Genomic DNA, 21790 nt, shown 5'->3' on the forward strand with positions numbered 1-21790 from the left:
CAGAGAGGAGCCCAGGGCTGGCACCTCCGGGTGGGGAAGTCCCAAAGCCGAGGGCTGGAAGTTCAGGGAGACACCACCCAGCCTGGCCCCGGGCTCCTCCTGCCAACCTCAGCCCCAGCCCTAGCCCAAGTTCTGGGAGTGGAGCTGGCTGCCCGGCCACACCCGCCCCAGGAATCATCCTAGAAGTAAATCCTGTTCAAACATGAACACCTGTGCTCAGAGGCCAGGAGCAGATAGAGGCAGGGACCAGTGAATGTGCCCCACGAATCCGCAGCTCAGGGGCATTCTCAATGGACCTGGGGCAGAGTCCCCCAGCTCTGCCTGGGCACAGAGTGGCAGAAACCCCCAAATGCTTGACATCATCCAGCAGAGAGGGAGTGGCAGGCACTTGATAAGGAGGCCCCTGGCAGGGAAGTCCAGAGAGTGGGGAGGTTCCTTGGACACCCCCAAGCCCAGAGGAGCCCCCGGGACACAGTGGGAGAGCGGGCTCAGGGTCCCAGGAAGTCAACGCCCAAAGTCATCCTAACCTCCCCTCTCTGCCAGGATAGGGCCCAGTGCCTGAGCACCTGGCTGCTTCCCCCATTACCCCACCTGGAGTCAGGAAGGGGCCCTGCCATTCTGCCAGCCCTGGGGCTTCTCCCTCATTACTGCTAATCTGATCCTGGACATGAAGCCTCTTCTTTTTTTTTTGAGATGGAGTCTTGCTCTGTCGCCCAGGCTGGAGTACAGTGGCACCATCTCAGCTCACTGCAATCTCCACCTCCCAGGTTCAAGCGATTCTCCTGCCTCAGCCTCCTGAGTAGCTGGGATTACAGGCGCCCAGCACCACACCTGGCTAATTTTTGTATTTTTGTTAGAGATGGGGTTCTGCCATGTTGCTCAGGCTGGTCTTGAACTTCTGACCTCAAGTGATCTGCCCACCTCGGCCTCCCAAAGTGCTGGGATTACAGGTATAAGCCAGGGCGCCCAGCTGCCTCTTCTGACCCTCCAGTCTGCACTTCTTCAGAGCCTGCTGCACTCGAGGTCCACTACCTTCATCTGTTCCTACCTTCATCTGTCACTTGTCACTCTTTCAACAAACTTTTCTGAGTACCAACCATGTGTTTGGCATATACAGTACCCTCAGATCCTACCACCTGCCAGACCCAGCTGGGAACCTCTGGACAGCAGGTGCCTAGGATGCAGGTCTCGCTCCACCTCTAGGGCTCAGCTGGGAAGTGGAATTCCATGCTGGGTTCTGGGTTTGTTCCCAGGCAAAGGCTCCTGAACCTGGGCTTGCTGGTTTAGTCCCAGTCACAGTGGATCCTCCCCTAACTCCATTGGTTAGCACCGGTGTCTCCCAGAGTTAGGCCAATGGCCAGGCCCAGACTGAGGTCACACATCTTCCGAACCCCCAAGGAGTCACCCCCTCTTCCCAACACACACACACACACACACACACACACACACACACACACACACACACACACACATACAATGACTAGGAGCATGATCTCTCCCATGCACCTTAATGGAAGGTCAGCCAAAGCTGGTTCAATTCCCAGGCTTAGTCATTGTGTGACCTTGACTAAATCATTTACCTATCTGAGCTTCGGTTTCCTCTTCTGCAAAAACAGAATAATCCTGATATCACCAAGTAATTATGAAGACATGAAAACAGCTAACATTAACTGAGTATTTACCATGTGCCAGGTGTGGTTCTAGAAGCTTTGCGTGTACTTTTATTATCCCTGTTTTCACCGACGAGGAAAGTTAAATAACTTGCCCAAGGTCACACAAACAGTTAATGGAAGAGCCAAGATTCCCACACATGCCACGAGGCTCCAGAGCCCACGACACACTTCCCCATTTTGGCTCTATGCTGACGAAGAGACAGCACCCGGCCTGCAACCTGACACACACATTCCCGGCATGGGACCTCCCCTTGGCTCCCACAACACTCTGACAAGTTGTTGCTGGGCAGGGTCCCTGCTCTGTGCTGGTGGTGGGGCAGGGGCTGCATCAACCCATGACATTACTGTTCTCCTAACTCCAAGCTGCCCAAAGGGAGGGCCTGGGTCTATTGTGTTGGCTGCTGTATACCTGGTGCCTAGAACAGGGCCAGGCACACAGCTAGTGCTCATTATTTGCCACCCCTGACTGAGCACTTACTTTGTCCCAGACACCACTGTAAAGACCTTACAGATATCAGCTCACTAAAGCCTCACAGCAACCTCAGGAGGTGGGTATCATTACCACCAACCACCATTTTCACAGATTAGGAAATGAGGCACAGAGAAGTTAAGCGATTTACCCGATGTCCTGTGTAGTGGGTGGCAGAGCCAGGATTCAAGCCCTGGTAGAGTCTCTGCCATGAACCACCATGCCATAATGCTGCCTTTGCAATCAATGTTGAATGAACAAGTGATTCTGCCATGCATGTTCCCTGGGGACTGGGAGTGTGTGTGGTGGGAGCACATTCACTCAGGGCTCTAGGACTGTCACCCAGCCCTGGCCCATGGGTTCTGCTCCCTCCCAGGCCCACCTCGAATGGGGCTGAACTGTGACCCACCCCAGCCAGCCCCGCTGCACCAGCCGGCCACCCACCTTGCCGAGAAAGTGCTTCCGGTAGATGCGGGCTGTGGGGTTGCACTCGAGCTTCACCTTGGTTGTGGGCGACTGCAGTGGCTCTGTCTCGGGGATGCTGGTGATTTCGTGGTTGGTGCCCTCAATCCAGTAGCCCCCAAACTGGGGCAGCAGGATGAGGGGGAAGGGTCCTTCTCGCCCCAAGACCTGAAGAGGGACTCAGCTGAGAGCCACCCCACACTGTACCCCACTGGGCGCCCCAGGACACCCTCCCAACTCAGACCTGGAGCCGCTTCTGTCGTGGCTAAGGGGTATGAGGGGACAGGCCAGAGCCTGTGTGGGCCCCAGGGTTCTGCTCCAGCCCTTTCCCTCAGCCAGACCCAGACAGCGCCGAGACCCAAGTCTCTAACAGGGGGTGTGGGGGCAGGTAGAGCTGGAGCATGACCTTGGCCCAGGAGGCTGGAACATTTGGCTCAGAAGGCCTAAGGGTTCAAATGGGCTCTGAGGCCTTGGGCCTGCAAATTAAGTCTCCAGCCCGCAGCAAGGCCTGCAGGTCAGGCTCCTAAGGAGGAGGACCTGGTATCCAGAAGCCCTGTGTAAGTGCCTCCTGGGCTTGAGTAAGGGTGGGCGCGGGGTTCTAGCTGAGTACCTCGTGCACGCTCGGGTATGGAATGTAGTCCTCCTCTGTCTGCAAAACACAAACAGGGCAAGGGTCTCTCCATCTGTCCATCCTCCAGTGCCCCCAGAGCTGGCCTCTGCTTGGCCAGCCTCAGGGCTGAGAGTGCGGATGGGGCCCTGGCCTCATCACCTCTTACAGATGGGCAGGGGCTGAGGCAGGCTTAGCGTGCTGAGTGCTGGCATCTTCTGGGGCTCTCCTTGCCTGGAGAAAGGAGGGCTCACTGCCTCCCCAGAAGAAACCGCTGGACTGCCTGGAGGGCTTGCTGCACCCCACCCTAGAGCTTTGGATGCAGCGGTCTGGGCGGGGTCTGAGAATGTACATTCCTCACAGGCTCCCAGGTGGCACCGACGCTGCTGGTGTGAGGGCCTCTGCCCCAAAGAGAGCATCAGGCTTACTGCCCATGCACCCTCCTCTAACCCTCACCCTGTAGCCCTGGGCCCACTCCACCAGGCCTGGTCTTCTAGGGTCTCTGGGATCTCTCACCAAGAACCATATGCTAAGAAAAGTGGGTCAAAAACAAGAGCCTCCCCCTCATCTCGCTGAGTCCCCTGCCTCCGGTCAGTCTCCTCACCAGTGGCTGGGGGGCACCCAGGCCTGCCTCCCTATCACTCCCTCCCCATCCAGACAGCAGCTTATGGAGCAGGAGCTCATAAGTCTCCTAGGGCCTGAGTTGGAGTCTTCCTGCAACTGCTGGTCATCACTGGTTTCAGGGAAAACATTTGGCAGCAGCTGTCTTTGAGAGAGGAGGGCTTTGAGTTTGGGGTGGGGACGCCTGGAGAGGCAGGGGGAGTCTGCAGCAGTGAAGACCGAGAGGAGGAGCTAGAATAGAGGCCCCAGCCCTCTAGCAAGAGAGGGGTTCTCCCCATCACAGAACTCCTAGAGGGCAGGGGCTGGGTCTACCCTGCTAGAAGCTGTGCCTCCCCCCCTACCCCCGCACCTGGCACACTGTAAGACTACTTGCTGAAAGGGGATGGATTTCCTGCTTGATGGGCAGTGGTGGCAGCACTTCCCGGACCCCCTCCACCCCCTAGAGAGGGAGGCAGACTGCCAGGCCCACCTACTTTGAGGGGCGGCGGGAAGGAGCAGCGTTGTTCATCCATCCTGCTTCCCTGTAAGAGAAGGCAGCACTGTTACACCCTCCCAGGCCTGCCGCCAGGCGCTGCCTCCCCTCCCCAAGGCGTGCAAGGGGAAAGCCCTAGGAGGCGGCCCGCGAAGGTAGGGGTACTCCCAGGGCAGGGTGCTAGCTGGCTGGGGGCCCTGGGCCTGTCTGAAGGGCTGGCTGTCCCGGTAGTGACCGGGGCTGGAGGCTGGCAGCCTCAGGGAGGGCTGGGGACTCTGCGGGAACGCACGTGCCGCTGGGAGTGGGGGCAGGGGAGGTGCACATGCCGGTGTGCGAGCTGGCGGGTGGGGGGACTGTTATCTACACAGATATGTGTTGAGGGAGAGAGGGGGAGGGAGAGGCAGAGACGAGACAGAAAGACAGAGAAATAGGAGGCATTGGAGAGAGAGACAGAAAGAGAAACAGGAGGCATCAAAGATCAGAGGGTATTCAAGGCACTCCCATCCCAGCACCCCCGGCCCACCTCCCATGCATACCTATGTGAAACGCAGACGGGGCTGTGGGGTGGAGGGTGGAGGGGTAATACCTCCCACTCCTGCAGCACAGTCTCTGGCTGACAGGCCCCCAGCATCTGTCCCCTCCTCCAGTTCCATTCCACCTGGGCCCCCCACCACAAAGCCTGCGGTGTCTCTCACTGGGTGAGAGGCAGTGTATGTCTGTGGGGTGGGTTGATGAACTGACCCCAGCCCTGTTGCAGTTCCACACAGGGATGGGAGCTGGGAGCCTAGATGGACTCCGGCATCAGAGATGGGGTTGGGCATCCTCTACCCTGACCTCCAGACAGAGGACCCTGGACAACCAATAGCCACCATCTTCTACTGGCGTGGCCTGTCCTCAGGGAGGTGAAGGGCTGGAGATGCAGCAAGGGCCCCCCAGCCCCAGCCCAGCCAGCTCTGTGGCTCCCCAGAACAGGCCACAGAGCCATCCTCACCTGCATCTTCTCAATCATCTCAAATAGATCTGTGTTCTGCAACAGAGACAGGGGAGAGCGAGGTCAGCTGATCCCGCCAAGCCCCAGAGGAGTCTCCACCCGCCCCGGCCCTCCGGGTCCCACCAGCTCTGATCAGTGACCGAGGCACCTGTCTGAGTAGCAAGCGGGAGTGACGGGAGCATCGTGGGAGGGGGTTCTGTGTGGGAGAACCACAGGGTCTGGCCGATTGCCAAGTGAGGTGAACCCAGAGCCTAGGGCCCAGGGCCAGAGCCACCCACCCACTCAGTCCTGCTCCCTGACGGGCTGCTACCCTTGGGGAGGGACAGATCGTCCCCAAGTCCCAGCTGCAGAGATGAGCCCATCCTGGATCCCCAGGAGGGGTCTATGCTTCTCCCCACCTCTCCCGGAAGGGGGCAAGGCTCAGTCAACCAGGCTCAGGCCACAGCCCACTGCTCAGACAGCCCACCCCTCTCCAAGGGGAGTGAGCTGGGGGTGCTTCAGGGAAGAGGACACTGGGATGCCCAGCGGCCCAGCACCTTGCATGAGCCACCTGAACCCTCGCACACTCGAGCTACCCTCTCCCGGGTGAGCCAGGGCACACGCAGAGTTAATCCGGTGTCTGCCAGCTGCGCTTGGCAGCCCCGGCCTCTCCAGCGCCAACTCCCTGCGAGCCTTCCTGGAAGGCGGCATCCCTGCCGGCTGGCCCGGCTCGGGGCTGGGCCTGGGAAGCCCCCAGAGCCTCCAGGATGGTGACCCTCCCCCTGCCCCTCCAAGGCTCAGCTCAGGCGGCTCCTGCTGACACATGTGCTATGGAGTTGTACACCAGGAAGCACGCACACTCTCTCTCTCTCTCTCTCCATCTTTCTCCCTCCCCTCCTGCTCACACACACAGAAGCCTGCACACCAATATTTAAAGTCCCACTGCACCACGTATATGTTTCGTGTACCAAGAAAACAACACACACAAACACATATGATGGGGACTGTGCACAGTGATTCTTAGAGCTATATACTAACACACAAATATACACATTGGCGTTCTGAGTTACACAGGAGCACACCCACTCAAACACATGCAGGTCCAAGTACCAGGAGAGATACACACACAAATGCAAACCCACACCTGTGCAGGTCTGCACACCAGTAACTGCACACAAAGCTATGGTAACACCACAAACCACTCTCGTGTGAGAACAAGAGGCATGACAACACGCAGCCACAGAGGCGGGCAGGTGTGTCCAGGGAGACCCAGATGCAGCCCCACTCATGGCTACAAGCCCTGCCTGCCCCGGCAGGGTCACATAACAACAGTAAATGAGACTCAAAAGGTATCCAGCAACTGCAGGGGTAGCTAATCCCCAAGGATGAGGGCCACGGTCTAAACCTCACACAGCCCTCACCCGCACACACACACAGAGCTCTGGGAAGGGTCACAAGCCCATATAAATGTGCACACTGTGAGGCCTGCCCATAGAGGCAAGGCCCACCTTGTAAAACCCACCACAGGAGTCCATAGGACACCTTGACCCATGGTCACCTATGGTCACACCCAACACCTCTGCATTTGAAAGAGACAATTCCGCAGGCAGTTACTGCAGAAACCACAGACACACACCTGAAGTCCAGGCAGACAAACATGCCTGTCAACACAACACACTGTATGACAGCAACTTTGGCTTCTGTGCCCAGGTCAGCCACACAACCTCAGCTGGGCATGACCCCAAAGAGTCACACTGATGATGGGTGCATTAATGTCCCCCATTAAGACACCCCACTCAGGGTGACCAAACGTAGCCAGGAACACTCTAATACACCTTGTTGCATTGGGAATCAGTCACATAAACACTGACACATGGTCCTGTCACCCAGAGTGTACACACAGCAACAAGCAACACCCACAGCTACAGCCTCAGAGGGAGCAGCAGACGCCCTGACACACGCGAGGGCTCTGAGAGATGGGGTCCAGATGGGGGGTGCCCCACATGAAAGCACCACCACAAAGTGGCCCTGGAGCATTCAGAGCCCCCCAAACGGGGCAGGGGCAGGGTAAAGTGGTCCCGACGGTAGCACGCACCCACACACACCCTGCCGCTGCAGCCCAGAGCCACAGTGCCACCCGGGAGGCCACAGCAAGAGCCCCAGGGTCCGGGACCCCAGGGTAGGGGTGCGCCCCGTGGCCAGTGTCAGCCCAGAAGCTCACACGCCCACCATGACGGAGCCTTGTCCGCCCGCCCTGGCTGGGGCAGAGCCGGCCGGGCTCCCCAGCAGTCGGGGTGACCCAGCCCCGGGGTCCCTCCGCCATGCCGCCCCGCCCGGGTCCTCACCTGCCAGCTGGCCCCCGCGGGCAGCGAGCCCCTCCGCGGACGGCCGGGTGGCACCGCGGGCCGCAGCTGTGCCATCCTGAGCGCGGCCCGGCCCGGCCCCCGCCGGGGCGGCACTTCAGCTGGCCCAGCCGGCTCCTGGCCCGCGCGCGCCCGGGTCCGGGCCCCGCAGCGCTGAGCTCCGCGCTCCCGGCTCCCGGCGGCGGCGCTGCCTGCGATGGGCTCGCCCCACGGCGGGGCCCGGAGGGGGCGGGGCGCCAGGTACGGGCGGCACGGCGCGGGGCGGGGCGGGGCGGGGGCGCTGAAGCCACGCCCCCCGGGCGGCCCGGCCCGCGGCCCCGGGACACCGCGCCTGCGCGTTCCGGCCCGAGCGCTAGAAGCTTTGGGTGCGTCGGGCTCCCCGAGGGGGCCCCCCACTCGGTTCTCCCCAGCGCGCCCCCACCTCACTTTCTCCATCTTCCCAGGCTCTGGGTACCCCGCCTCGGCATCAAGGACAGGGTTGGGTTACCTTGCAGACAGAGGGCTTTTCTTGAGCACCTACTTAATGCTGGGCCCTTCGCATGTGTCGTAATCTCGTCACAGCCCAGGAGGTACAAATGTCATCTCCATTATACAGATGAGAAGCCGGTTCCAAGAGGTGAAATAGCTTGCCCGAGACCACACAGTCAGGAAGAAGTCAAAGTGGAATCCAGAGAAAGGCCTGGTGCTACTCTTTGGGGTCTGTCCCTTTTCCTCCTCCTCTCCTCCATCCTGCTTCCCATGCCTCACAGTGGCTGGCCTGCTCCGTCCCTTCCCCCGCCCTAGCTGCCCCAGATCCTGGGGGAGATGGCCACAGCACCTAGGGAGGGGCTGCCAGGCCCGTGGTATGGAGGAAAGGACCCAAGTAGATTTTGGGACATGTGGATTCTAGCTACAACTTGCTGAGTGGCCTTGAGTGAGTCCCTGCCTCCTCTCTGGACCTCAGTTTCCCCATCTTTAAAATATAAGGACTCTGTAGGCCCTTCCAGCTGGCTCTGCAGTGTGTCCCTGGCCTGGTATAGCCACTGTACAGCAGGGACAGGGACAGGGCCTTGCTACCACTTCCTCCAGACAGATGTTGGGAACACAGCAAATGCTTCCTGAACTGTGGCCAAGCAGACACAGCTGCTTTGGATGTTGCGGGGGCAGGGCTGCCCACCAGCTCAGAGCCATACCTCTGTTCAGCTTCCTGAAAGAGCTGCCAGTGGCTGCCCACCACCCTCCAGCCCCAGAACTAAGGGCTCCTGGAAGGAAAGCACTGTGCCCTCCCTTTCCCCCTAGACCTGGCCTTGAATCAGGTTTGGGCCTGGAGAGCCAGCAGGAACTCTGGAGATGGGTGTTCCAGACACGGTGTAGCTTTGGTTTTAATAATTAACAACAGCAAATATTGATTTATGCAGCCACTTCCAGGCCTGAATGCTTCCGGGCACCCATCGAAATCCAGCCAGAGAAACATCCATTCCCACACTGCCCCCGGGGGAGGCGAGACCTGCTCACAGCACTGGAGATGGCTGTGTGCCAGGTGGCATGGAAGGTGTGTGCACATATGCGTGCAGCCATGTGTGCGTGTGTGTGAGACTCCACGACCGGATGTGGCTGTATGTATGTGGGCATACTGTCTTTCTGTGTGTATGGGAATGCCTTGGTATGGGAATTTGTGTTTGTACATGTGTATCTCATGCATGTGCAAGTCTCTGAATATATTTACAGACCAGTGGCTGTGGCTGTGTGTTTTGTGTCTGTGACTCTGTCCCCATATGTAGGTGTGGGTAGGCTGTGTATGTACGTGTGTGCAGGTTTCTGAATCCCCGAGTGGAGAAACCCCTGTAGGGAGGAGGGAAGGAGGGTCCTGGGTAGCTCGATGCCTGTACAAATGTGGGGCCTGAAGGGAGGAGAATGTCCCTTCTGGGTGCCCTGTCCAGCCCTGGGAATGTAATGACGCTGATAAGAGCTCAGCTTCCTAATTTCTACTTTCCAAAGTACTTTCACCCAATTGCAAGCTGGCAAGGCAGGTAGAGAAGAAACTGTCACCTCTGTTTTACAGATGAGGAACCTGAGGCCCAGAGACGGGCAGGGATTTGCCCACTGGCAGAGGAAGGTCACCTGCCCTTCAGATGGATGCCATCCATGTTATAAATGTGCACAGAGCTAGGGGCACCAGGGGAGGGGAATGGAGAATATGTCACAGGCCTGTGTTCCCTCAGCCCAGCACTGGCTTGCTGGAGACCCCAGATGAATCATTCAGTCTCTCTAGCCCCTGGTTTCCTCTCCTGTCAAAGGAGGATGGTCCACAGACTCTTGATTCTGAGGTGGGGGTGGGCTGTCGGGAAGGGAAGGTTCAGAGCCCGCTGTCTGAGCTGTGTTGGCACAAACGGAGGCTTCTAGCCAGACTGGGTGGAAGCCAGGAAGCCCGAGGGGAGGCAGCTTTTCAATAATCCGAGAAGGCCAACCCCAGGCTGTCTAGCACGCAGGGCCCAGGGCTATGGGCTGCTCTCTCTCTCTCTCGTCTCCTGATGGGAAGACTGAGGCCCAGGGAGGGGAAGCTGTGGTCCGAGGGCATACAGCCCTTGGTGAGAACCCAGGGCTCCTCCTGAGATGCTCAGGGGAAGAGGGACTGGGAGCTTCATTCATGAACCCAGCTGTCAAGTGAGGGCTGCCATTGAGTCTCTCCCTTCCTGCCAAGCCCCGGATCCACATGCCCCAGTCTTGGGCTGTTGCCCAGACAGAGAAAACAGGAGTCAGTCTCAGGAATCTCCTGCTGCTGCTCCCAGCAGCCCCACGTGGCACCCCCATGAAGGTGGTGGCCCCACATATGGACACCATTCCTTGGCCATCTGCCCTCCCAGCCTAGGCAAGGTACGTGGCCTTTATTCCAGGCCAGAGCTCTCAGGGAGGAGCCTGGTGGATTTTGCCTCTGCTATTTTCTGGCTGTGTGACCTTGGGAAGACCACTTTACTTCTCTGATCTCCTGCATCCTCAACTAGATAATGCCTACTACCCAAGGTTTACTAAAAGGACCAGGTGGCATGATGTCTGTGGGTGTGCTTTAGAAACTGCAAAAAGTACTGCAAAAGTGAGAGCTTGTCACCCCTGCATCAGAGAGGCCCTAACACCAGGCCCTCTGGTCAGACAGCTTGCATCCGGTCGTGGCCCCACCACATCCAACCTGAGTGACTTCGGGCAAGTGACTGAACCTCTCTGAGCCTCAATTTTCTCATCTGCAAAATGGGACTGATTATAGTAGCTATCACATAGTCCAAGGATGAGATGAAATACTGCAAATAAAGCATTAAGTACTCTCTTAGTACACAGTAAGTCTCAATAAATATTAGAGGTTATTTCTGCTATTTGATGTCCTGCATACATTGTTCAGTTATCTATTGCTTTACTGGACTGTGGCTCCTTGAGAGCAGGATCTGTATCAGATTGGTTTCTGGTCGCTTGGCACCCAGCACAAGGCTTGGCATGAAGCAGGTACTGGGCAAACGTTTGATTTTAACGATAATGATAGAGGCTCGTTGACAGGGCTCTTGCTCTGTGCCGGATGCTGTGCCTGGGCCGCCCTGTCTGTACTTTGCAGCAATCTTCACAATGACCCTGTGAAGTGGGTCCTCTCATTGCACCTGGTTTACAGATAAGGAGACTGATGGTGACGTTGATTGTGGAGATGATGAAGATAGCTGGGGGGCTGGTTTATTCCCAGCTGTTTTGCTTAGATTCGCCCTAAGCCCCTCCCTGCCACAGTCTACAGACCTAGGTTCAACGTTTGTGACTGCACCAGCCTCACCCCGGGCTCAGGAGTGGCAACCCCTTAGGAGCTAAACCCCATCAGCATCTGCCTGAACATTTTACCTTTGCCCAAAAGTCATTCTTGGGCCTTTCCCAGCCCTGGGCATGTGTCGGAGGTAGGGGGCAGACCAGGGGCCGTAGGTATGGAGGGGGACACTTACCTTAGGGTAGAGTGAAGGAGTATAGGAGGGAACTAAGTTCACTCGTGACAGGTCTAGTGCCTGAGGGAAGTGCTGGTTCTGCCCATCGCTCCTCCTGGAAGAGAAAGAGTCTGAGGTCAGGGAGAGCCCCAAGCCAGGAAATTTGGGAACTCTGGGAGAGTCACTCTCAGAGCTGGGGGATGTGAGGGAGGATAGACTTCACGGAGGAGAGGGTCATGGGTTCCCCAAGAGGAGGGAGAGGAGGGGCTTCATTAGCAGGGCTACCACACAGGCTTCTCCTTCCCCGGAGATCAGAGACGTGGACAGGGTCTCTCCCCAAGCTCTCCATTAGGCCTCCAGCCAAGCAGTGACCTACTCTGAAGATGAGTAGACTGAGGCAGGGGCACTGAGGGTTGCTGTGGAGGGTGAGCTTTCTGGACTAAGCAGGGTGCCCCCGCCTCTACAATGGACCCCTCCCTGAGCCTCTGGGAGTAGCCGCCTTGGCATTGAGGGGCTACCAGGGCTACCGCTATTACGAATGACAGTGACCGTGACCATAACTGACGCTCATTGGGCCTACCACATGCCAGGCCCTGTGCTGAGCCCTCGTTCTAGGCCCGAGGGCATGGCCTCCTCACCACACTGGTATTCCCACTTTACAGACAGGACCCAGCTGTGCACAGAGGTCACACGGCTGGCCGGCAGCAAAGCTAGCATCTGCATGAGACCTGCCTGAGTCTAAGCCCGGACTCTCTGCCCACACCACACCCTTCCCTGAGGAAAGAAAGCAGGTCTGGCGAGGGTGAAGTCAGCTCCTATCACCCTAAAAAGCCTGCCGAGGCCACCTCTGGGGCAGGGAGAGGAAATGCCCAGTGGTTCCCGGGATCCTGGGGCTGGGCAAGCAGGCCTGGCTTCCGCTGCTGCCTAGGGCCACCCTGACGTGGCTGCACCTCTGCTCAGGTCCCATCAAGAGAGGCTGGTCCCTCGAGGGTGACTCAGATGATCGCTGGTGGCCTACAGCAGGCTTGAGTCAGGCAGAGCCGGGGCTGCCACACCCCAAGAGGGGAAGGACCCGAAAAAGTCTGGCCCAGGAAGAAGACTGAGAAAGCTGTGAGCCTCCCTTCTTCTTTTTTTTTTTTTTTTTTTTTTATGACAGAGTTTCGCTCTTATTCCCCAGGCTGGCGTGCAAATGGCTTGATCTCGGCTCACTGCAACCTCTGTCTCCCGAGTTCGAGCGATTCTCCTGCCTCAGCCTCCTGAATAGCTAGGATTGCAGGCATGCGCCACCATGCCTGGCTAATTTTGTATTTTTAGTAGAGACGGGGTTTCTCCATGTTGGTCAGGCTGGTCTCGAACTCCCGACCTCAGGTGATCTGCCCGCCTCAGCCTCCCAAAGTGCTGAGATTATAGGTGTGAGCCACTGCGCCCAGTCTGAGCCTCCCTTCTAATTCCACTCAGCCCAGCTACTCCAGCAGGAGAAATGGCCCGGAGGAACCATCCACAGCCCCACTTATGCACTGGAGGCCTCTCCACCTCCCAGGAGTGATGGCATCTTACAAGAGGGGTCTGCGCTGGGCAATGCTTGACCCAAAAGGACAGATATGGTGGCAGTGGCATTTCAAGCCTGTGGCATCAGTGTGGGGGAGATAGTCTCAGACACTGACTGGCTAGGTGAGCTTGGGTTAGTGACACAGCCTCTCTCAGCCTCAGTTTCCAAAAACATTCATCGCAGAGCCTGGGCAGCTCATGGGAATTCACTCAATGAAAACTTTCACATCATTTGTTCATGGTAAACTCTGGCTCCCCAAGTTTCACTATTTGTTGAATGACTGAATGAATGAATGAAGGTTGGGAGTCACTGAAGGGTTGTGAGCAAAGGAACATCCCTACGCACAGGTTCCTGCATATTGCAGGGTACACTGACATGGGGAGAGTCTGGAGTGGGAGGGTGGGGACTAAAGAGAGGTCCATAGAAATAGTTACCGGCAGGCTGGGCGTGATGGCTCACACCTGTAATCCCAGCACTTTGGGAGGCCAAGGCGGGCAGATCACCTGAGGTCAGCAGTTCAAGACCAGCCTGGCCAACCATGGCCAATATGGTGAAACCCCATCTCTACTAAAAAAAAAAAAAAAAAAAAAAAAAAAAAAAAATACAGGCTGGGCGTGGTGGCTCACACCTGTAATCCCAGCACTTTGGGAGGCCGAGGTGGGCAGATCATGAGGTCAAGAGATCCCGAGAACATCCTGGCCAACATGGTGAAACCCCGTCTCTACTAAAAATGCAAAAATTAACTGGGCATGGTGGTGCACGCCTATAGTCCCAGCTACTTGGGAGGCTGAGGCAGGAGAATCGCTTGAACCCGGGAGGCGGAGGTTGCAGTGAGCTGAAATTGCGCCACTGCACTCCAGCCTGGCGACAGAGTGAGACTCCATCTCAAATAAAAAAAATACAAAAATTAGCTGGGCACAGTGGTGGGCACCTATAACCCCAGCTACTTGGGAGGCTGAGGCAGGAGAATTGCTTGAACCTGGGAGGCAGAGTTTGCAGTGAGCTGAGATCACACCACTGCACTCCAGCCTGGGCTCCAGAGGGAGACTCCACCTCAGAAAAAAAAAAAGGAGGGGGGAAGGGAGGAAGGGAGGGAGGGTGGCTTCCAGGCAATTCCACTGAGGCTCCCATGGGGACTCTTTAGTGAGACCTACTATGTGACTGGGACTGCGTCAAGCATATACTCTCCCCCAACTACTGTGCAGGAAGGTTGGTGTTATTTCTCTCCATTTTCACAGATGGAGAAGCTGAAGCTCAGAGAGGTGAAGCCACTTCCCCTAGCGAATGGGGGATGGAGCTGGAATTTAAAGTACATGCCCTAGAGGAAGTAGGGATCCTGCAGTGGGGTGGAGGGCAGAGGCTGCCTGGGGGTCAGGAAGTCCTGGGGTAGAAGCCCGGTAAAGCTGGAGTGCTGGGTGCGGCCGTGGCTGCCCAGTGGCGGCTGTTGCTTGTGATCAGGCTAGTCCAGCGGTGCCCTTCTGTCTTCCCCTAGGCTCATATGATAGCCATGCAGCAGTCCCTGACAAACCCCCTTCCAGAACCCTCTCTGCCTCAGTCTCCCCATGTGTAGGTGTCCATTTCACTCAGGATTGCTCATGTGGGTGCAGAACCAGAGCGGCCTCTGAAGGCCAGGGTGCTCTGGCTTGCACCTGGGACCCCATCCCAGGGCCCTTGGCTCTCCAGTTCCTGGCTGGCCACAGTCCTGTCCCCCGAAGGCAACTCCACCTAAAAAGCCACTGCTGAGGCCGTAAGGGGCAGGGGAAGGGAGGGGCTCCAGGATGGGGACAGAGAAGGAAACTGGAGGCTCTGGGCACTGCCTGTCCATCCATCCCCAGACCTGAAGGGGTAGAAGAGGGACAGGAATGACAAAGCCACGTCCTGCCGGGCGTCTTGCATAATCTAATTTAATCCTCACAGTTCCCCAAAGAGGCAGATGTTCAGAAACCTCCTGCTTTCCACACGAAGCTCAGAAAGGTGCGTTAACTTGCCCAAGCTCACACAGGCAATGAGGCAGGCCAGGCATTTGGACACAGGTTTGTTGACTTCAGAGCCCAAGATCTGAACTTTATAACATGTACGTCCAATCCTGTGGACCTCCCCACAGAGCCTTACGACTTCCAGCTCAGGAACACGATCCAGCACCTCAAGTCAAGTCGGAAAGGTAATAGTAACAACAGCAACGGCCGACACAGCTGATACAGAGCTTACTATGTGCAGGCTCTGCTCTACTTTATTGTATTAACTCATTTAATTTGCATTTTTCAAAGGAGGGAACTAAGACACAGAGAGGTTAAGTAACTTGTCCAAGGTCACACACAGTAAATGAAAGTCTGAAGATTTGACCTCCCCCAACATCTGGTTGCAGTGCCCTTAACACTATACCACTGACACTTAGTAAATAGTAGTTGCTCAATAAATACTTTTTTCTTTTTCCCTTTTTTTTTTTTGTTTTTTGAGACAGGATCTTGCTCTTGCTGCCCAGGCTGGTGTGCAGTGGCGTGATCAAAGCTCACTGCAGCCTTAAACTCCTAGGCTCAAGCCATCCTCCCTCCTCAGCCTCCCAAGTTGCTGGGACTACAGGCACCACCATGCCCAGCTAATTTTAGTAGAGATGAGGTCTCCCTATGTTACCCAGGCTGGTCTGGAACTTCCGGGCTCAAGAGATCCTCCCACCTCAGCCTCCCAAAGTGCTGCGATCACAGGAATGAACCACTGCCCCTGACCTTTTGTTGTTGTTAAGAAATGGGGTCTTGCTCTGTCACCCAAGCTGGAGTGCAGTGGCATGATCATGGCTCACTGCAGCCTTGAACTGCTGGGCTCAAGTGATCCTTCCCCCTCGGCCTCCTAGTAGCTGGGACTACAGGTGTGTGCTCGGCTAATTAAAAATAAATTTTTTGTTGTTGTTGTTGAGATGGGTGTCTTGCTGTGTTGCCCAGGCTGGTCTGGAACTCCTGGCCTCAAATAAGCCTCCCACCTTGGCCTCCCAAAGCACTAGGATTACAGGCATAAGCCACTGCACCTGGCCCCAATAAATACTTTTGAAGCAATGAATGAAAGCCTCTTCCCTCCTCACCAGCCCTCTGCCCTTCTCTGCTTCACGTCCTTTCCTGCTCAGCCTTCCTCACCAGCTCGCCCATCTCTGCCCCACCTTTCCCAGCACCCCTCCAATCCCCTTCTTCCTCTGGCCTCTGCAGACCACCCACAATGTGGTCGTTTCCTCCCACTTCACGAACCCGAACCTCTCTGTCCCTCCCCTTCTCTCTCCTATCCCACCCTGGTCTCCTCCTGGTCTTCTCCATTCAGTTCACATCATGGATGTCCCCCTGGTCTCTATCCCTTCCCCACGTCTCCAAAAACCATCCAACCCCCTGGCCTGGCTCAGCTTAAAATGCTTTGCATTCCTCCTGGGCGGCAGCAGCTGCGGGGAGCCCAGAGCATGCCGGGACATGGGGCGCTCTCCCCTCTCCTCCTTCCCCCTGCCATGACCGTGGTCACATCTGTGCAGCACCCTGGAGCTTACACTGGCATTGTCTCATTCCAGAGCCACAGCAACTTATTAAAAATCCAGATGAGGCTGGGCACGGTGGCTCACACCTGTAATCCCAGCACTTTGGGAGGCTGAGGCGGGTGGATCGCCTGAGGCCAGGAGTTCGTGACCAACCTGGCCTACATGGCGAAACCCCATCTCTGCTAAAAATACAAAAATTAGCTGAGAGTAGTGCCACGCGCCTGTAATCCTAGCTACTTGGGAGGCTGAGGCAGGAGAATCGCTTGAACCCAGGAGGCGGAGGTTGCAGTGAGCCGAGATTGCGCCATTGCACTCCAGCCTGGGCAACAAGAGCAAAACTCTGTCTCAAAAAACAAAAACAAAAACAAAAAACAAAAAAGAAATCCAGATGAGATATAAACCTTTTTTCCAGATGAGAAAACTGAGGCTCAGAGAGGTTCAGTGACAAGCCCCAGGTCGCACAATGGGAAAGGGCAGGGCTGAGATGTGACTCCAGTCCAGTGTCCCTTCCACAGCGTGCATCCCACTGTCCTCAGCCCAGGCCCTCAGTCCCGTCACCTGGCCTCCTGCCCCATGACCTCCCATCACGGCCCTGGCTCCTGCAGCCACCGCCAAGCGCCTTCCCTAGGCCCAGCTCCGGCTCTGCTCTGTCTGGCCTGGACACCTGCACGCTGCCTCCTCTGACACATGAAATGGGAGCAGCCAGAGAGGAGGTGACCCGCCCAAGGTCACATGGAAAGCTGGAGCCAACCTGGAGTCTGGGCCAGGCACATTCCGGGGTCACCTTCAGCCCCTGTGTCTGTGTGGCAGCTATCTCTCCCTCTCGGGGAGAGCACCCATCTTTTCCAGGGAAAGGGTGAAGCAAGGGTGTGGGGGAAGGGCCCAGCTCCTAAGTGGGATGGGCCCGGCCGGAAGCCGCTGCTGACAGCTCCCCGGTTTCTTGGCAACTGTCACTGCACCTCCTCCCCCTCCCTTATCTCTGCATCGAGGTAACAATAATAATCGCACCATCGTGAGTGCAGTTCTTTGTACTTTTCAAAAGCCTTCTTTATCTGCTCACTCCTGGGACTCTCACCGGAACTGGAATGGAGATAAGGCAGTCACTAGGATCCCCAATTGCCAGCAGGGCAAACTGAGGCTTGGAGAGGTGAAAACACGACCTCAAAGTCAGCCAATAAGGCCGTGAGCAGCAGATCAGGGATAAGAACACAGGCCTTCCACCAGTCCAGGGTGGGAAGATCTCAAGAGAGTTCCATACTCTGCAAAACAGCAGGGTCAGCCCAGGCTCAGTGGTTCATGTCTGTAATCCCAGCACTTTGGTAGGCTGAGGTGGGAGGAACACTTGAAGCCAGGGGTTCGAGACCAGCCTGGGCAGCAAAGTGAGCCCTCATCTTTACAAAAAAATTAAAAACCCAGCCCACTGCAGTGGCTCACACCTATAGTCTCAGGCACTCAGGAGGCTGAGGTGGGAGGATCACTTGAGCCAGAAGTTCCAGGCTACAGTGAGCCATGATGGTACCACTGCATTCCAGCCCTGGCGACAGAGCAAGACCCCATCTATACAATGGAAACAGACCAACAAAACATCAGGGTCAGACTCAGGAATGGTTGGGCAGAGGGGGAGACCAAGCACAGGTGGCCAGATGCCTTCCTAGGGTGATTCTCAACTGTTAACCAGCTGGAGGGGTGGTGAGAGGGTCCTGTCTTTTTCTCTCATCTGCAAAATGAGAGATAATGTACCCACCTCATAGAGTTGCTATAAAGTGCTTGTAATTATTATTACTGGCCACTCTCCTGGAGAGCCCAACCTTTTCAGGGCACCAGAAGTGTGGTGGGGCTGTCCTGGGTGGTGGGCTTGGCCCTTTGGCCCCCCGGAGATAGCTGCCCTGGATGGTGGTCTCCCAGTGGGTCCAGCCCCTGCTGACTCCCTCCAGCCTCAACCTCATACCTCCCCTTTCCTGTCCTGCCCCAGCCGCCTGTCCTGGCTCTGTCCTAACCTCCCCAGGCTGCAGGCAGCTTTCCTAACCAGCCACACTGTTCACAGGCACCCCCCCTCTGCTGGGGGTGCCTTCTCCTGCTTTTCTGCCTAGTGAACCATTGATGCTTTGAAATTCAACTCAACCAGGTGAAACTCTGGTGGCCAGGGCAGGTGGTACAGGACCATCAAGGCAAGAAGGCTGGGACCGGGAGCAGGGGAATGGGGATCTGGACAGGTGACAGTGCCTGGAGCAAGAGCAGGAGGAGCCCACCCTGAGGACAGCCACCCACTGCACACAGGCTGGGAGACCGGACACGGAAAGAGGGAGTGGTCTGGAAGGGCGGGGGAGGGGTTCAGGGAGCCAATGAATACAGGGCAGAGAAGAATTTTTTGGGGGCAGCAGCCTGGAACAGGGGCCTGAGGGGTTCCGGCCAGTCCAGCACTGGTCATCAGAAGTCAGGAGGGGAAGGCCTGGGTCCAGTTCCCTGGGGTCTTCCTGGTTTCCAGGAGATCAACCTGGTTCTACCAAGTTCTACCACCCATGTGGGGTGGAGGATGAGGACAAGGGCACAGACCTCCCAGTGAGAAGAGGGCTGTGGAGGGCAACCCTGAGAGAGGCTCCTTTGGATGAGGGCTGGGGGGCTGCCAGAGCCGGGTCTCCTAGCCCTGGGCATCGGGTCTGAGGGGACTCGAATCTCCTGAAACCAGAACCAAGTGGCTGCCCCAGAACTGCCCCCTCCCGGGGGGGGGGGGGGGCCACAGAAGCCCATTGTTTTCTGAGCTCAACCAGCCGGCACTGCCCTCCCCTTGGCTTGCCCCTGTCCCTGCCAAAGTGCCAGGGAAGGTGGCCGGGGCAGCCAGTTGAGCAGGTTTCCAAAGCTAGGTCTGGAGAGGCTGGCCCCCTCTTCCCCAGCCCACTGGGAGCCTAAGCAGACAGGCACAGGCACGGGAGGCTCCTGTGTCCCCTTTCCCTGGGCACCGTTGACCTCTCCTAGGACTCTAGAGGGAGCGTGGCGATGGGGTAGAGGAGCGGCAGGGGGACTATTTGCCATGCGGGCACTGTGATGTCATTCAATCCTTATGACAACAACCCTGACCTCAGGATGCTATCTTCACCCATTTCAGAGATAAGGAGGCAGAGGCTTAGTGAGGTTTATGATGGGCCAAGGGCCTCAACAGCTACCAAGTGACAGAGCTGGCAGGGTCCCCCTGGGGGTGTGGGTGGGAGACTCAGGCCCCAAGCTGGGCAGAGGGATGGGCAGGAAGGTGGCACATGGGGCCGCCACCCTCGCCCCATGCTGGCTGCATGCCGAGACACCCGGATCCCGGAGCTGGGCCAGGCAGAGGCCTCCTGAACAAATAACAGGTTGGCAGCCTAGAGAGGTGGTCACGGGACCGGTCCCTGCCCAGGGCACAGCATCTGGGAACCAGGCCACCCATTTACCTGCTGTCTATCCAGCATCTGTCTCCCTTGCTCAGGTGGCCTGAGCCCCACTGTGGCCAAAACCTGACCCTTCCCACCCCACCGAGGACTTCAGTGTGGACTGACTCCTCCCCTGCACTGGGGTAAGGAGGAGGAGTGACTCTGAGATGACCCGGCCGCAGGGCCTCTTCCTGCCGGGCAACAACATCATCTGCTTCCCTAGCCTGGCACTTTCCAGTTTACAAACTGCCTTTGCCATCAACCCTCTCAACAGCCTCCTGAGGAACACAGAGCAGTAATGCTAATCTCCATTCTGCCTGGAAGAAAACTGGAGCCTGGATGGAGATGGTGACTTCCAAGCTTCCACCCCGAAGCTCAGCCCCAGCTGCTCTGCCCCCTGCCCACGTCCACGCAGGACACAGCTCCCACTGATGGGCAAGTCTGGGCCAGGGTGACCTTCCCAGCACCCGTCAGCCCATACATGGTATTACAGCCGCCTATGCTTTCTGTCTCTCCTCACTCCCTACATTGACCTCATTGTCCCTCCCCAGCCTCCGCAGCCCAGGGGGTCTCCCTTCTCTGAGCTCCAGGCATTCCTTCGCTCACTCACCCACTCGGTCATCTACCCACTCCCCCATCTGCCCTTCATTCCTCTGCTCAGTCATTCATTCAGAACACATGTCCTGAGGTCTGCTCTGGAGTGGACAATGGTGCTGGGTGCTGGGATCAGAGTGGGGTGAACCAGGCCTCCCCAGTCCCAAAGCAGAGCCCCAAAGATACCTGCCTGGACTGTTCCTGAGGAGCCTCTGGCTTCACTGCCTAGACAGTGAGTCCCCCAGCACTGAGGCCTTGCTTAATCCTTTCCTCCCGCTCTGCACCAGCCCTAGCTGGGGCTGGGGTTGCTGCCTCATAGGCTCCAGGCCAGTCTGGTGAGCAGAAGTCCCTGCCCCTCACAACTCCCCAGGCGGGGTGACCACCCAGGCCAAGGCGAAACCCCCACGGGGATAGACAAGGTCACCATCTCCTAACCAAAGGTGACATGGGGAAGCCCTAGCTCTGCCCCCAGATCACAGTGTGTGCAGGATTAAGTCACCATAACCTCTCCAAGCCTCAGTTTCTCTACTAAAAATTGGGTCTCAGGCCGGCTCTCTCATCCTACAGAGGACGAATGGGAGGATGAGAAACTGGAAACTGAGTTCACCAAGGATTGGTTGGAAGCAGAACCCTGAAGGAGGGCTTTCCCAGTGGAGAGGACCTTAGACTCTTCTAAGTCGCTTCTCTTCTCTGAGCCTCAGTTTCCTCAGCTACAAAATGGGAGAGTAACACCAACTTTGCAGGGTTGTTGTGTGGAATAAATTAGGTATTATATGGACAACCTGACTAGCCTAGAGCTGAGGACACAGTAGGTGCTCAATAAATTACAGGCTCCTGCCTAGAGAGGCAGTGTAGCGTCAGTGTGGGCTCTGGAGCCAGATCCTTGAGTGCGAATCCTAACTCTGCCACATAACAGCTGTGTGACCTTGGACAAGTTACTTAACCACTATGAACCTCAGCTTCCTCATCTATAAAATGGGGATAGCAGTGCTGACCTCTGAGGGTTAAATGAGTTCATTGGTGTAAAGTGCTTAACATTCACCATGAGCATTTCTTGGCCTTCCCTTCTCTTCCTTCCTTTCTTCCTTCCTCTGTAGGTGCCTGAGGACTGAGACAAGACTCCTAGGTGGAAGTTGTGAGAAGGTAGAAACGATGGGACAAACACAGCTGCCCAA

The 21790-nt window shown here is 56.9% G+C and overlaps 1 protein-coding gene across 121 annotated transcripts in view, besides 4 other annotated features; it reads right to left on the reverse strand.

The window, feature by feature from the left end:
* Positions 1-21790, reverse strand: part of RAP1GAP (RAP1 GTPase activating protein) — a 73137-nt gene that overhangs the window by 18499 nt on the left and 32848 nt on the right. For 110 of the 121 annotated variants that reach the window (NR_170911.1, NR_170915.1, NR_170909.1 and 107 more), the window contains 5 exons: positions 11585-11678; positions 5296-5331; positions 4306-4353; positions 3215-3253; positions 2587-2772 (listed from right to left, as the gene is read on the reverse strand). Coding sequence is in view for 90 of the 121 variants with exons in the window: in NM_001388286.1 (NP_001375215.1) it covers positions 2587-2772; positions 3215-3253; positions 4306-4353; positions 5296-5331; positions 11585-11678 (403 nt within the window). In the remaining 31 variants the exon portion in view is untranslated. Of the gene's footprint in view, positions 1-2586; positions 2773-3214; positions 3254-4301; positions 5332-11584; positions 11679-21790 lie in introns of all 121 variants that reach the window. The other 11 variants (NR_170916.1, NM_001388280.1, NM_001388279.1 and 8 more) reach the window with 6 other exon arrangements.
* Positions 3923-4764: an enhancer, noted in NCBI's record as "H3K27ac-H3K4me1 hESC enhancer chr1:21945135-21945976 (GRCh37/hg19 assembly coordinates)". NCBI's record gives its function as "activates a minimal SCP1, AML or CMV promoter by ChIP-STARR-seq in naive H9 embryonic stem cells {active_cell/tissue: H9 hESC(naive)}" and the evidence as "EXISTENCE:reporter gene assay evidence [ECO:0000049][PMID:30033119]".
* Positions 17053-18021: an enhancer, noted in NCBI's record as "H3K27ac-H3K4me1 hESC enhancer chr1:21958265-21959233 (GRCh37/hg19 assembly coordinates)". NCBI's record gives its function as "activates a minimal SCP1, AML or CMV promoter by ChIP-STARR-seq in naive H9 embryonic stem cells {active_cell/tissue: H9 hESC(naive)}" and the evidence as "EXISTENCE:reporter gene assay evidence [ECO:0000049][PMID:30033119]".
* Positions 19126-19874: an enhancer, noted in NCBI's record as "H3K4me1 hESC enhancer chr1:21960338-21961086 (GRCh37/hg19 assembly coordinates)". NCBI's record gives its function as "activates a minimal SCP1, AML or CMV promoter by ChIP-STARR-seq in naive H9 embryonic stem cells {active_cell/tissue: H9 hESC(naive)}" and the evidence as "EXISTENCE:reporter gene assay evidence [ECO:0000049][PMID:30033119]".
* Positions 19875-20623: an enhancer, noted in NCBI's record as "H3K27ac-H3K4me1 hESC enhancer chr1:21961087-21961835 (GRCh37/hg19 assembly coordinates)". NCBI's record gives its function as "activates a minimal SCP1, AML or CMV promoter by ChIP-STARR-seq in primed H9 embryonic stem cells {active_cell/tissue: H9 hESC(primed)}" and the evidence as "EXISTENCE:reporter gene assay evidence [ECO:0000049][PMID:30033119]".

Source organism: Homo sapiens, chromosome 1, assembly GCF_000001405.40.
Source record: "Homo sapiens chromosome 1, GRCh38.p14 Primary Assembly".
NCBI lineage: Eukaryota > Metazoa > Chordata > Mammalia > Primates > Hominidae > Homo > Homo sapiens.